This window comes from Homo sapiens, chromosome 2 (assembly GCF_000001405.40).
Source record: "Homo sapiens chromosome 2, GRCh38.p14 Primary Assembly".
NCBI classification, from domain to species: Eukaryota; Metazoa; Chordata; class Mammalia; order Primates; family Hominidae; genus Homo; species Homo sapiens.
In genome coordinates this window covers 215,762,152-215,776,068 of record NC_000002.12, presented here as the reverse complement: position 1 = coordinate 215,776,068, position 13,917 = coordinate 215,762,152, and the positions used below count along the sequence as shown (strand labels likewise).

The following is a 13,917-nucleotide window of genomic DNA, read 5'->3' as shown; positions in this document are numbered from 1 at the left end:
CTGTCTCTAATATATAAAAACCCCCAGAAAATCCATATTAGCTTTTGAAGTCCTGCACAATCAATATCTACCCTTTTGTACGAATCACACTATTTTACTCTTATTTGGCATGCATTTATATTTATATGAATTTTTTTCATTCGCTCTTGTGAAATCTCTTGATATGAATAGCATAGGCTTTGTAATTGGACAAGATTATTATGTGCTGAGTCTCAAAATTCACTCAGTTTCCATTTTGAAGATGAGAAATTGGGTTCACATGCCTGCTTGGCTACTTACTGGTTACAAGAAGTTGGCAAATTTCTTCGTCTCTGCAATTCTCAGTTTCTTTATCTGTAAAGTGATCACCGCAATGCCTATCTTTCAGAGTTGTTAGGACAATTAGAAAAATATCTAACACAGTACTTTCAGCCTTTATAATTTAATGCTGCCACTCCCCCCACATGAACTCTTCTCTCTAATAAGACCGTTCTCTTTGCTGACTGACTTCTAAATGTGCCATGCTTATTCCTAACTCTAAATTTTGGTGCATTCATGTCTTCTCTCATAAGAAATCTCTCTCTCTCTCTTTTTTTTTTCCCCGGGTCTATCCAAATTTTATTTTTATCTGAGAATCTAGCCCAGAATTCAGTTTAAATTCAGTCTTCTCTGGAAGTCTTTCTCAAACATTCCACTCTGTCTCTGTCCTCGAAACTTCTTAAGTGAATAGAACAGACGATATCACTTAACTTAGTGTTTCTCCAAGTGTGATTGGTGGAAGATGATGCACATAAAAAGGTGTTTCACAATCAAGTAATACAGGAAGGACTGCATCGTGCATCCCTGTCTTAGAGATTTACAATTCACATTAGCCCAGTCAAGGTTCTGAGAGAGCTGACAAAAAAGAAAATTATTTAACTTTGTTCAAGCTTGCAGTTCTCAAAACTATTTAATGGTTGAATTGTTTTTTCATATAAAAACTATTAAATCAAGTAGTGTGTTTTCCTAGGAGCATGTTGTGGGAAACTGACTTATTGCCTTGTGATTTTTCTCTCTATAGGATGTTTCCTGGATGTTGCTGTCTCTTATATTTGTATTTTTACAGCAACATTGAGCTTTTAGCTATGCATCTTCTAGGTGCTCAACAAATACTTGTTAAGAGAAATAAAGTTCATAGTGTGGAAAGGCAGAGGAGTTTTAACATGGAACTCTTATCAATAGGGACTCTAGTCAAAGTAAGGTAAAAACGGTTATGTAAACTGGTGCCTGAAATGAGGTTTGGGAGCTTGTGGGTTTCAATTAAATACGCCATTCTTTGGTTCCATTTGCTTAAAGGCAAGAGATTTTGTTAAATTATACCTACATATTCCCATTTGTTTTCCTTTATAAATAGACTTGGAATAAGCTTTTTAAATGGTTTCAAAAGTTTGTGAGGATGGAAGCACAGCTCTGAGAGTAAGATTGGGTATGCATCTTTCAGATATGCATGTATAGTGTCTAGTTTTATAGCCCACACACATTTTTAAGCTGTATTTCTTTTAAAAGGAACTTAAATATTATTTTGATTTAAAAATTATATTTTGGGGAAAAAGTCTAGGAATTATGGGACCATAACAATATAATGCCATGAAGTTACAACCTTATAGTGGTGTTCTCTCTGGGCATGTTAAATAAAGTTTGATTTATTGAAATGGTTTTTTTAAACCATACTCTTAATTCACTGCACATTTAGGCCTTATGTTTTGCTTAATTCTTATACTTGAGATCTAGCCCAAATGCCGTATGTGTGCTTGCTTGTATAGCTTACTTTATAGGGAGGGCTCTTTCATTTAAAACTCAGAGAGGGTAAAAAGCAGAAGATAACCTTTGAAGAAGAGACATAACATTACCCACCAAATGCCAGAATTTCTAAAGGAAGTTGGATCTGTTGAAAGGAGCCTCTGTGTTCCTAAGATGGGTTGGTTGGGGCCATGGAGGTCTTTGGTTTTATATTCTTGGTCTTGCCTTTTAAAGAGGAAATGCAGCTCCTGTGAAGCAATGGCCTGACATTGGTAGGGTTGAGGTTCAGAACTTGTTCAGCCTGTGGACCCTGGGATGACCTTGCATTAGTCATGTGTCTGTGGGCCAGCACCTCATCTCATGCCCCGTGGGAGGGTGGTGCTCTCTCTGAGGTTCATGTTTGGATGAATTACTAACCACAATGAAGCACCCTCTTGAATCAGGCTTCTGGATTGTGGAGCAAAATAAAAAAAGTGTCCTTCTCTCACATATTTTTCCATCAGCCCTGCTTGCCTGCGTGTGATCCTTTTATTTCCTCAGCTGTGGGGCAAAGGATCTATCACTCTTGTTCAGTATTTAAATACGGAAGACATTGAAAGGGTAAGCCCTCAAGCATATAAAGCCCCTTATAAAGAACATTGCCATTCTTGTGCTCTCAGACGTGCATGAATCTTTCAAGACACCTTTCATTTTCATATTTATTGGGCAATATGAAGTTTGTAATTTATTTTGTTGAATTGTGAATATATTTTTTCATGTATTGGGCTGAAGCACACAACATTGCTGATGTCTGACCACTTTCAGTTTATAAAAATAGCAATTTCATATGGTTCCCTCTAGGGAAAGTGAAGAGAAAAATCTGCCCAGTCTCCTTTCCCTTTAATGAATCTTTATTATCCTGCTGGTGCAGATTGCCTGACTCTCCAAGTATAAATCGGGAGGGAGGAGGACTAGCCTTGAGTTGTTGACTGGGTTGTCATAGCTAGCCTGGGCTCTGGAGTGAGGATGGTCAGTGTTGGGCACAATTAATTCATCCATAGAAGGAAAAGATGTTGAGCAAAATATCTCAATGAAGTAATGGATTCAAATGGTGTCAGGAACATCTAAACAGCACAGCAGTTGCTTCTACATCAAATGTGACATTTGGCATTGAGGGTAAGTTCACAGAGCCAAAGCTAAACTCAGGTCAGGATTTAACACTGTTAAACCATTTTGACATGTGGCTTTTATTTGTTAATGAAACCAACTGCATTTGACCTGCTAAACATTAGGAGAATGAAAATATAAGAAAAACATAGATCCTTATGGGAAAAAGATGCAAGTAGAATTATTTTCACTGAGTGGAAGATGGAGATGGAGGTGGGGGTCTGAGGATAGAAAAGAAAGTAAAAATATTAAACTAAGAGAAGAGTGAGGATAATTGCCAAGGAATGTAGCACCGCAAAAGGTCAGTGTGTTCTTGGATAATGCTAGTGGCTATAGCAGGAGGTAAGCATGATTAGAGGTGCTGTGTCCTTTCCACAGCACGCCTCCAAGGAGAGTGAAGACTCTAATCAAATGCCTGGTCTGCCAGAAGTAAGAAATTGGGTGACGTTGGGTAGAAAAATATTTTATAGGTTTGTGACAAATTGTCGTACCTCTAAATCCAATTCATAGCTTATATATATATACACAATCTTACAAAAAAATCAACCTAACAAAGCATCGATCCACATATATCCACATTTCCTTTCATGTGGACTTAGTTTTTGTTAAGCCTTAATCAGGTTTTAGTATTGCCTGTAAACAGATATCTTGCTGAATGTGAGAGCGGTTTCTAAAAAGAAGATACAGCCCCATTTCTGGTCTGTACTTTTCTGCAGCTTATATATATATTTAAATAAACCTAGTGTTACCAGTTTTGATTGGTCTATTTCTGCTGAATGTTCCTCAAGGAAGAATATTATTATTGGAAAGAACCTGACATGTACTGGTTGTGGAATGGAGGAGTGAGCGATCTGAACAAATAGTTAACTTATAATGGTTAACTGTTTTCCTTGTAAAAGTCAAGATAAGATATACTCAGCAAGCTTGTGAATTTTGAGTGCTGGGAAGTCCTGGATTCCTGCAGAGTCATTGTGAGGTTTGCTTTTATTGGCCTCTGTTTCCCATGCAAGGGACAATTGTATAAATCCCCCTCTCCCTGCACCCACCTCCCTCCCATGTTGGTTTAATCCTTAGGCTGTTTCCTGCCTGCCCCCCTGGGAAATGCTGGTAAGAATTTCTTAAGATAGAACTTCCAGGGTCTTTATCTAGTTCTTCTCCCAGGCCAACCATTGGAACTTTCCTTTTGGATATGTCTCATTTGTGCAGCAAGTTTAACAGAGTGTTATATGCAAGTTCTAACAGGCAATGCTATATAATGGAGCATCCAAGACTGATACCAGTGTACTGGCTTTTTAAAACCCTAGGCACAAAACCTCACTTCAAAAGAGGAAAAATCTAAAGGTAGAAAGACTGCTTTTGGTCAGGGGGCTAAGTTAGATTCCTCAAGTCTCACTGTACAGGCAAGTTTTCATTTTTGTTTAGGGCTGTAGAATAAATCTTATTGTGCCCAATATGGAAAACAGATCAAAATGTTAAAGGGGAGTGTTGTGGCTTAGAGTCTCACCCACTCTGCTCTTTTCATTTCTTCTACTTTCCTGGGAAACCTTGAAAGATTTCACAGAGCCCTTGGGGTTGTACAGAGCACCAGGGCAGAGAATTGGTTGGGCCAATATTCTCAAATATAGTAACTCTTGATTATTTTTATTAAGACCCACATGATGATGTAGATCTGTAGAGAGAGCAGATAATAAGATAAGTAAGATAAGAAGCATGAGTAACAGGCCTGGTTCAATACACTCTCAAGTGGCCGAGAAAGCTTTCTGACTTCTAAATATGTTGAACACTTTGTACAAGTGGTTTGTGAATGTAGGTTTTCTGAGAAAGATAAGTGAATAAAAAAGAAACAGTACCAGGCTTGGGTCACTTTTATCTCAGGAGGAAGAGGCTATTGTTCATCCATGGAAAAAAGGGCCGATGAGCTGCAATTTTCAGCCTAAACTCTCTTAAAGATGGCTGGTCAACTTTATGTCAGACACAGAGTTCTTTCTCCTCTAAAAACTCATCATTGATTTGGGAGACAAGACATAGACAGATTAAGTAGCTGACTGTCAATACACAGCAATCCAAGGTAAACACTTATGGAAGTGGCAGAGGTACCTGCTGCTGAAAAGATACTTGAGTGTTGAAATAGTCAAGGAAGCTTTTCTGATGAAAATATCCTATGAACAGAAATGGTTAGAGAGAGTTCGTGTGCTAACTATATTCTTTCTGTGAGGATTAGGCTAGGTGGTTAGAGGATACAAGTGGAGATAAGAAATCTTGGCCCTGTGGCGAGGCCTCTTGTGCACAGGAGAAATAAAACAAGCAGGTTTCATGGGTGGACTGGAAGCCATGGAACAGCCACGTCACATGGTAATCAGGAACCTCAAAGGACAGTTGTCTATGGTCCACCAGCAGCAGTGGCTCATGGGTGATTCTTCTAGGGCTGATCATTAACGTGACTCAGACTTGTTGTGAATGCTCATTTCTGTCTTCAGCTCACTTTTTAGAGCTTGACTGGTCTTGGTGAGGAGCCATTCTGGCCTAGTCAGTTGTGGACAAGTGGACAGATTCACATAGTACAGGCATAGAAATTTGGATGTCTGTGGCGCAGTGGCTCCATGCCTGTAATCCCAGCACTTTGGGAGCCCGAGGTGGGCAGACCACGAGGTTACGAGTTCGAGACCAGCCTGAACAACATGGTGAAACCTCGTTTCTACTAAAAATACAAAAATTAGCCAGGTGTGGTGGTGCACACCTGTAATCCCAGCTACTCAGGAGGCTGAGGCAGGAGAATTGCTTGAACCCAGGAGGTGGGATTTGCAGTGAGCCGAGATCACACCACTGCACACCACTGCACTCCAGCCTGGGTCACACAGCAGAGCAAGATTCCGTCTCAAAAAAAAAAAAAAAAAGAAAAGAAAGAAATTTGGATGTCTGCAACTCTTAAGGCTACTTCCTTCCTTCCTTGGGGTGCTGTGGCAGGGACCCCTTTAACAGTGCCTGAGGTCGTGGCACTGGCTCCCCACTCAGGCAGTATCCATTGTGGAATATGTGTTGTACCCCAAAGATCTACCTTATATTGCACACTTTTGGGTCAGGAAGCACTCACTAATTAATTCTGTCTTACTTTTCATATTTGTTTTTTAGAGGCCTTTTTTCTTAGAAATGCATATGCAAACACAATGTAAACATATATCAATGCCATTTTCTACATGATTGTCAGGATTTATTATATAAAAGGATTGACTTTACTGATATTCTAATAGAATAAATCTGCCTGTCTTGCATTCTTGAAAGATCTCCTAAAGGTAGCAACAAATGATGGGATCATTATTAAAGTAAGATGAATGTGTTGTCAGGGCCTTGGAGAAACATAAGCATAATACTACCAGGAGAATTGTAAGTTCTTAAAAATGGTCAAGACCCTCAAAGTCATCTTGCCCCAAACTAGGGAGAGTTCATAAAAATCATCCACTGCTACTGCAAAGCTTGACAAGGAGGCTGAGACTGTGCAAGCTCTCTCGGACAGAAATTTATGGGACAAATCTGAGCTTTTATTGGGAAAAGAGAGTGAGAAGAGCCTTTTACTAAAGAGAATCTTGAGGTAGAAGATGCCCCACGGGACTCTGTGGCTAAGGAGAGGTTACTTTTAATAAACAATAGTGACCAGGAAAATAAGAGGAGGTGGCAGACACAATTCCATGCTTTTGACCTTTCAGTATTAGCTATTCTGAACTTTGTTCCTTTAACATCTTAATTTCTTGTCAACATTTCCCCACCCCCCTAACCCCCGCTCCTCTCAAATTGCTCCCTTCTTTAATTACCTTGTATTTTTAATTTCTTTCATATTGTCTTTGTCTCCTGCTATATTTCCTAATATAAGTGTTTTAATTGCTTTGAAATATTTCTAAGACTAAGGCATTTTAGGAATCAACATATTCTGTGTGTGTGTGTGTGTGTGTGTGTGTGTGTGTGTCTTCAGCTCTCTTTTCTCCTCCCTCACATCCAATGCAGTTGTTCCTAAATTGTATTATTTTTACTTGAAGTGGCCTATATTTGTGACACTGTGGGTTTAGTATAACATAGATAATTAGTAAGTTAGTACAATTAAGTAATGACTTATACTCTCAATTAGTTATGCTCCTAATCCTCATCCTGCCCCTTTGTTTTGTAATTTTTCTTTTTCAAAGTATTTCCAGTTGTTATCTCAGTCTACTATTATATAAACTATCTTGTTTTATTTTCACATACATCATTTAGGGAAGTAGAAAGGTGTGGTAGAGAGTTCGAGTTATGTGCTTTTTACGCTTGCTCTCATTTAGTTTTCCCAATAATGGTATGAGGTAGATATTCTTGTTCCTGTTGTACAGATGAGGAAACTGAGCCTGAGAAGGTTTAGTACCTTTTCTAGTTGCACACAGTTCGATAAGTGTCTTAGTCAGCTTAGGCTGTCATAACAAAATACCAGAGACTAGGTCCTTAAACAACATAAATTTATTTTGTCACAGTTCTGGAGGCTGGAAGTCTGAGAACATGAAGGCAGCATGATCAAGTTCTGTGAGGGCTCTCTTCCTGCCTTGCAGACAGCTGCCTTCTTGCTGTGTCCTCATATGGCAGAGAGAGAGCAAGAGAGAGAAAGACAGAGAGAGAGAGAGAGCAAAAGAGAGAGAAAGAGAGGTGAGGTGGGAGGTATTGCTGAGATGCTATGCTTATATGTGATAGAAAGTCTCCCTGCTGATAAAAAGGTGGAAGAGGTAAAGCGCTCTTGGGCATATTTCCAGGGGGTGAAAACCCACATTAGGATTCCATGAGGGGTCTGCATTCAAGGAGATAAGGAAGAGGCTACGGGGACTGGCTCTCAGGACAGAGTGGAAAGACAGTGGTTGCTGTATTGGTCTCTAGGAGTGAGGCATTGGGACGTGGATCTGAATTGCCACATCCAGAGATGAGCTCTGGGATTGCCTTCAGGGTCATTCTACCTTTGTCTTGAAGAGTAGTGTATGTTCACAGCCAAATTGCTCTATAGATCATAAAGGTCCAGTCCTTTAGGATCCAAGAATTCCAACAACCTTCCTTCATTTCATCTCATCTTGGTCCCTTTCAGTTCAAACTGGCAGTGTTTCTGCTGGAGTGACTGATTAGGTTCATGGTTCACACCCAGCTTAATCTCCTTAATGAATGGTTGCTTGGCCAGATCCTTAGTGTTCTTTTCAGAGCAAGCGTTCTTATTTTTTGCAATATAGATAGGCTGAGAAGTTCTGGTTCCTTTTTGCTTGCAATTCCATCTTCAATTTATCTTGCTCTTCTCACATTTTACTATAAGCAGTTGGAAGAAAGCTGCTCTTTCAACACTTTGCTTAGCAATCTCCTCAGCTAAATGTCCAATTTCATCATTGGCAAGTTTTGCTTTCCATAAAACACTAAAAAACAATTCAGCCAAATTCACTGCCACTTTATTACAAGGATATTCTTTTATGCATTGTCCAATAATTTGTTCCTTATTTCTGTCTGAGACCTCACAAGAATGGCCTTTACCTTCTATATTTCTATTAACATTCTATTCATGATTTCTTATATATTCTCCAAGATGGAAGCTTTCTCTATAGCTTTCATCTTTTTTTTTTCTTGTGCCATCACCAGAATTGCCTTTAACAGTCCCTTCATAGCAGTCTTGGCTTTTTCTAGTTTGTATCTCAAAACTCTTCCAGCCTCCTCTACCCGTTACTTAATTAAAAAATCATTTCCACATTTTTAGGTATTTGTTACAGTGGCACCCCACTTTTTGGTACCAAATCTGTATTAGTCTGAGTTTTCCAGAAAAACAGAGATATCTATAGATATCTCCTCCATTGGTTCTTTTTTGTGCATGTATATAAAATAAAGAATTGGCTCATGTGACGAGGGACCTGAGAAGTTCATGATCTCCAGCTGGAAAACTGATGACTCAAAAGAGCCAGTGGTATAGTTCCAGCTCGAGTCTGAGTCCAAAGACAGGAGAACACCTATGTCCCAGCTCAAAGACAGGCAGAGAGGCACTCTGATCCAATTGAGGTAACACACAAAATCAACCCATCACAATAAGTGATGGAGTCTGGATACAAAATTCAAAGCCTGTGATTTAATTATTGTGCTCTACTGGCTCCCCATAGAACTACTTTTTATGGGCTACTTACTATGTACCAGGCAATTTTAGATACATTTTCTTATAGGATATCTAACAATCTATGAGATTTAAAGAGCTATATAACTTACTAGCTGTGTGATTGTCTAGTTAATGTGCCTGAGCCATACTTACCTTGTGTGTAACATGAGAATAATAACACCTGTTCCATGTCTGACTAACAGTTATTGTGAAGAGTTCATGAGAGAATGCATATGAAAATAATTCTTGAACCATGAAGCATGATGTAATGGTATGCATTGCAAATGTGGAAATGTTATTTACTCCATTAATTAGACAACTTTGCAAATGAGAAATCCTGGAAACAAAAAGGTAGATGTAAATTTAGCCAATATTTATCAAGTATCCACTGTGTGCCGGATACTCTCCTCAGCACTTGCTAGAGTGATCTGCTCAAGATCTCTTGGTTTATTAGAGCAGATCTGGAATTATAATTGGTGTGTTGGCTCCAGATGGATGAACGAGTACTTGTCCCAAAAGTGAGAACTGAGCTGAAGACTTGTTGCAGACAGCGTTACTGCTGAGTTGACCAGTGAAATTTATTTCTTGCTGACTTTCCCTTCTTTATTTTTGCCTTTTGCTGAGCTTCTCCCCAGTCCTGCATTATAATAGGCTTTTCCAGTATAAGAGATCATATCCAGATTTTTCAGCTCCTTTGGAAAATTCCTGTGATAGACTGCTGGACCTGGAGCTTTTTGCTATTCATTTCTTGCTTTACTTTTCAAGCTAAGGCAAAACAGAAGCAAGGTGCTTAGTTTGAATGCATTCATGGCTTGACCATGCTGGTTCTGCAGGTGCCCATATGCCACACGTATGTTTTCTTGAGCACACAGCTTCACTCAAAGCCAGGCTCAGGCGCACCTGTTTTTCACCTGCTGGTGTGTTCTCTGTGGGAAGGAGGACAGTCCCTTGTCCTGTCTCTCAGATAATGAGACAGGATGCCCCAGGACACTAGACAAGGACAGGGGAGCATGGGATTATCTTCCCTCTTCTGCCCCTAGCTCCCACTGGGCCCTCAGATGGGGAAAGTTCATTACCTTGTGTCAGACTGAATGATGTTTGAAAGACTGCAGGCTGTAGTTTCTGAGTGGAGATGTATTTGAGATAATGAGGAACAGACTTCTATACGAGAAATGAAGCTTTTTGTAGCTGGCCTCTGAGGCTCCTGCCAAAAAAAACTCGAGGCTGAGCTAATCATAATGAGTTTTCAAAAGCTATACTCAGGTAACAGTTTAAAAGAATAGAAATATTATTTTAGCAAAAAAGCAATGTTTAGAATAGAGGTAAATGATTTCATTGGTTAACCCAAAGCTATTAACCAATAACATAAATATAAATTTTTATTATAGACATATATTGCCAAGCTACAGAAAATCCATGACTTCCCTAGAGGGAAAATTAGCATTTGCTTTATTTATATTAAAAATAATCATATTTAAGATTATTTTGCAGGTGGTGTGTGTGTGTGTGTTTGTGATGTGGCTTAATCTATTTATTTATCTCAAGTTATGGAAAAGTCTATAGCTTAGGCAGAATGTGGTTTCAATCAGTCTTCATTTGTTTTTCGGATGCCTTATTCATTTGAATGGATAAGAGAAGAAAAGAAAATAATAATAAAAATAAAAATAATGGAAATGATAATAGCAATAATAATATTTGTTTAGTGTTTTGCAAAGTTCACTCACAAATTTATCTCTTTTAAACTCTAAAGCTCTTAAGAGGGAGTTTTTGACCTGTGAGTCAAGACAAGCATCATTATTGTTATTTCTTTGATAAATGAGCAAAGTACCACTATAAGATAGTTAAGGGAAATTAAATATTTTTCTTCTTATAGCCATATTAAAAACTCAAGGTGAAACCTTTTAAAATTAATAAACTGAGTAGGATTTTATTCCCAGAACATAACGGTCTCTGGAAAACACCACCCCAGTTGGCATCACATAGAGTAGGAGAAAGGTATTTAGTGTGAAAGCTATGTAAAAAGTCTAACACATGGTTGTTGCTCAATACATGTCCATTCTCCTCCTTGTCTGGACATGACTATGTCATTACAGCTGAGCACTGTGCTGGATTATCTTGAGGATACAAGTGAGCTTAGTACATGCTTCCTGTCCTCATGTTGTGTATGATCTAACTGGGAAGGCAGAGCATGGCCATCTCTGAATCAATCACTGTGGCCAGTACTGCCTGAGTCATGGGTGTGTGTATGTGGGATAAGCCCCACCTAACCACATACACTGGGTCAGAGTGGGAGCAGTTCCCTAAAGTAAAATCAAAGTGTCATTTCCAGATGAAGAGTGAATGAATGATGGGCAACAGATGTCCAACTCAGGTGCATCTTCTGATATCCATGGAGTTAAGAAATCCCAGGAATCCCTACTATCCAAAGCCCTCCCTCTCACTGTCAACTCTCCTCTTTCCCAGGCAATCCTGCCAGCTCTAGTTGCAAAATGGAATGCATTTCCCCATATAAACAGAGTTATAAATGCTGGCTAAGCATAGCTAACATGGTACTATCGGTAGTACATATTTCAAATACATTAACTTTAAAGAGCCTTTTGTGGGAAGTTTTGAGGATTTAACCATAATTTATAATACAGTGTGTATGAGAAAATGTGTGCTGAGAAACTAAACACTCAAACCAACAGACAAACTCTTGAAACATGAACTGGAGTTGTATGAGCACAATTGACTGCTAAGTCATGTGGTAGAATTTGGAAGGGCTGAGACCATTCAGAGAAAGGAGAGTTCCATAGGAGCTCTCTGAGTCTGGGGAAGGGTTAGAGAGCCTGATACTATCAATCCATCTTGATGGTAGCAAAACCTGTCTTGTGTTCCCCAGATATTATCTCATGAGATGAGGATGACCTGGGTCTTGTGACTCAGGGCAGCTGGTCTGGGGCTCACCTTTGGGCTCCCTCATTATCCCATATATGTCCCTCTCAGCACTTCATTCTTGCTTGAAAACAAGAGGAGGAGTATGTACGTATTTTAATCAAGAGTATATTAAATATTTAAAAGGTTTTAAACACACAAATACAAGAAAATACAAAAATATTTTGTATAAAGTATAAATGGGAAAGTCTTTCTATCCCCTCCACTCCCTCCAATAGCATTCCCTTAAGTGAGGTGTTGATATGGTTTGGCTGTGTCCCCACCCACATCTCATGTTGAATTGTAATAATCCCCCCATGTCAAGGGCGGGGCCAGGTGGAGAAAATTGAATCATGAGGGTGGTTTCCCCCATACTGTTCTTGTGGTAGTGAGTAAGTCTTACAATATCTGATGATTTTATACGTGGGAGTTCCCCTACACAAGGTCTCTTACCTGCCATCATGTAAGATGTCCCTTAGCTCTTCCTTCACCTTCTGCCATGATGTGAGACCTCCCCAGTCATGTGGAACTCTTTCTTTTGGCTGGGCGCGGTGGCTCATGCCTGTAATCCCAGCACTTTGGGAGGTCAAGGCGGGCAGATCAACTGAGGTTGGGAGTTCGAGACCAGCCTGACCAACATGGAGAAACCCCGTCTCTACTAAAAATACAAAATTAGCCGGGCGTGGTGGTGCATGCTTGTAATCCCAGCTACTCAGTAGGCTGAGGCAGGAGAATTGCGTGAACCTGGGAGGTGGAGGTTGCAGTGAGCCAAGATCGCACCATTGTACTCCAGCCTGGGCAACAAGAGTGAAACTCCATCTCAAAAAAAAAAAAAAAAAAAAAAAAGATCCCCAGAACCCCAGAGAGCTCTCTCACTCTCTTTGCACCATGGAAGGATACCACAACAAGACAGCAACCTGAATACCGGAAGCAGGACCTCACCAGAACCAAACCATGCCCGCATGCTGATCTCAGACCTCCAGCCTTTAGAACTGTGAGAAATAAATTTCTGTTGTTTCTAAGCCACCAAGACTAGACTATGGTACTTTGTTATAGCAACTTGAACTGACAAAGATACCCTCTGCTTTGAAAATCATTGTGTCTTATTTCAAAGCCTATATTAACTAAACCTGTTATGGTTTACAGCATGCATCTTTAACTTATTGTAACCCATTTAAAATAATATTATACTACTTTAGCTAAGAAATTTGCAATAACATACTTACATTTTCTCCCTTTCTAAATGTTTTGCTATTTTAATATACTTCTACATATATTATAAAAACCACTATAAAAAAAAACCCACTACATATATTTGCTTTACATAGCCATCTTTCGAATAACCTAAAAAGCTAATCATTTGAAGACACTAAAAAATTAATACATGTTTTATATTTTTTCCATTTCCAGCCATCTTCATTCTTTTTTGTTGATTTCAGTTTCCATTTCAAATTGAGGGAGGTGCCTGAAGCCTTGGTGGGTCTCATGCATAGGGGGATGTTTGCAGAAAAGCAACCAGAAGTTTCACATCGCCAGGTGGGAGCTGGTGCAGAAATGCCGAGAGAAGGTGGACTGGAAGAGGCCTGGAGTCTAGACTGGAAAGCCATAGAATGCAGAGACATTGAGATGGGAGATTATAGCTGTGACCTGAACTTTAGTGGTGGGTGTCTATTTATTATATAATAAAGAATTTGTCTAGTCTTTTTCTCTGGTTCCCAGGGAGAACTTCTAAACCCTTGGAATTTCCTGAGTGAGAGGGGTATCTTTTTTCATTCATGATGGCCCCTGATAGTTTATGCTAATGAGGTGACTTGGGATAAGCGCAGGCCAGAAAGACCAACCATGTGATTAGAAGGTTGAGCCACAGGATATCAGCCTACCTTCCCAACCTCTGCACAGGGAAGGAGGCTAGAGGTTGAGTTCAATCATGTGGCCATGATTCAATTAATCATGTCTACATAATAAAATTCCAGGCC

The 13,917-nt window shown here is 39.5% G+C and overlaps 1 long non-coding RNA gene across 1 annotated transcript in view, besides 2 other annotated features; it reads left to right on the top strand.

Annotated features, from left to right (window-relative positions):
* LINC00607 (long intergenic non-protein coding RNA 607) overlaps positions 1–13,917 on the top strand; it is a 231,974-nt gene that overhangs the window by 67,468 nt on the left and 150,589 nt on the right. The gene's annotated exons all lie outside the window — the stretch shown is intronic.
* Positions 3,729–4,023: an enhancer, noted in NCBI's record as "tiled region #2478; HepG2 Activating DNase matched - State 5:Enh, and K562 Activating DNase unmatched - State 5:Enh". NCBI's record gives its function as "activates a minimal TATA promoter and a strong SV40 promoter by Sharpr-MPRA in HepG2 and K562 cells {active_cell/tissue: HepG2 | K562}" and the evidence as "EXISTENCE:reporter gene assay evidence [ECO:0000049][PMID:27701403]".
* Positions 12,311–13,510: an enhancer, noted in NCBI's record as "BRD4-independent group 4 enhancer chr2:216627282-216628481 (GRCh37/hg19 assembly coordinates)". NCBI's record gives its function as "activates an origin of replication core promoter dependent on BRD2, P300/CBP, MED14 and CDK7 cofactors, and independent of BRD4, by STARR-seq in HCT116 cells {active_cell/tissue: HCT116}" and the evidence as "EXISTENCE:reporter gene assay evidence [ECO:0000049][PMID:35650434]".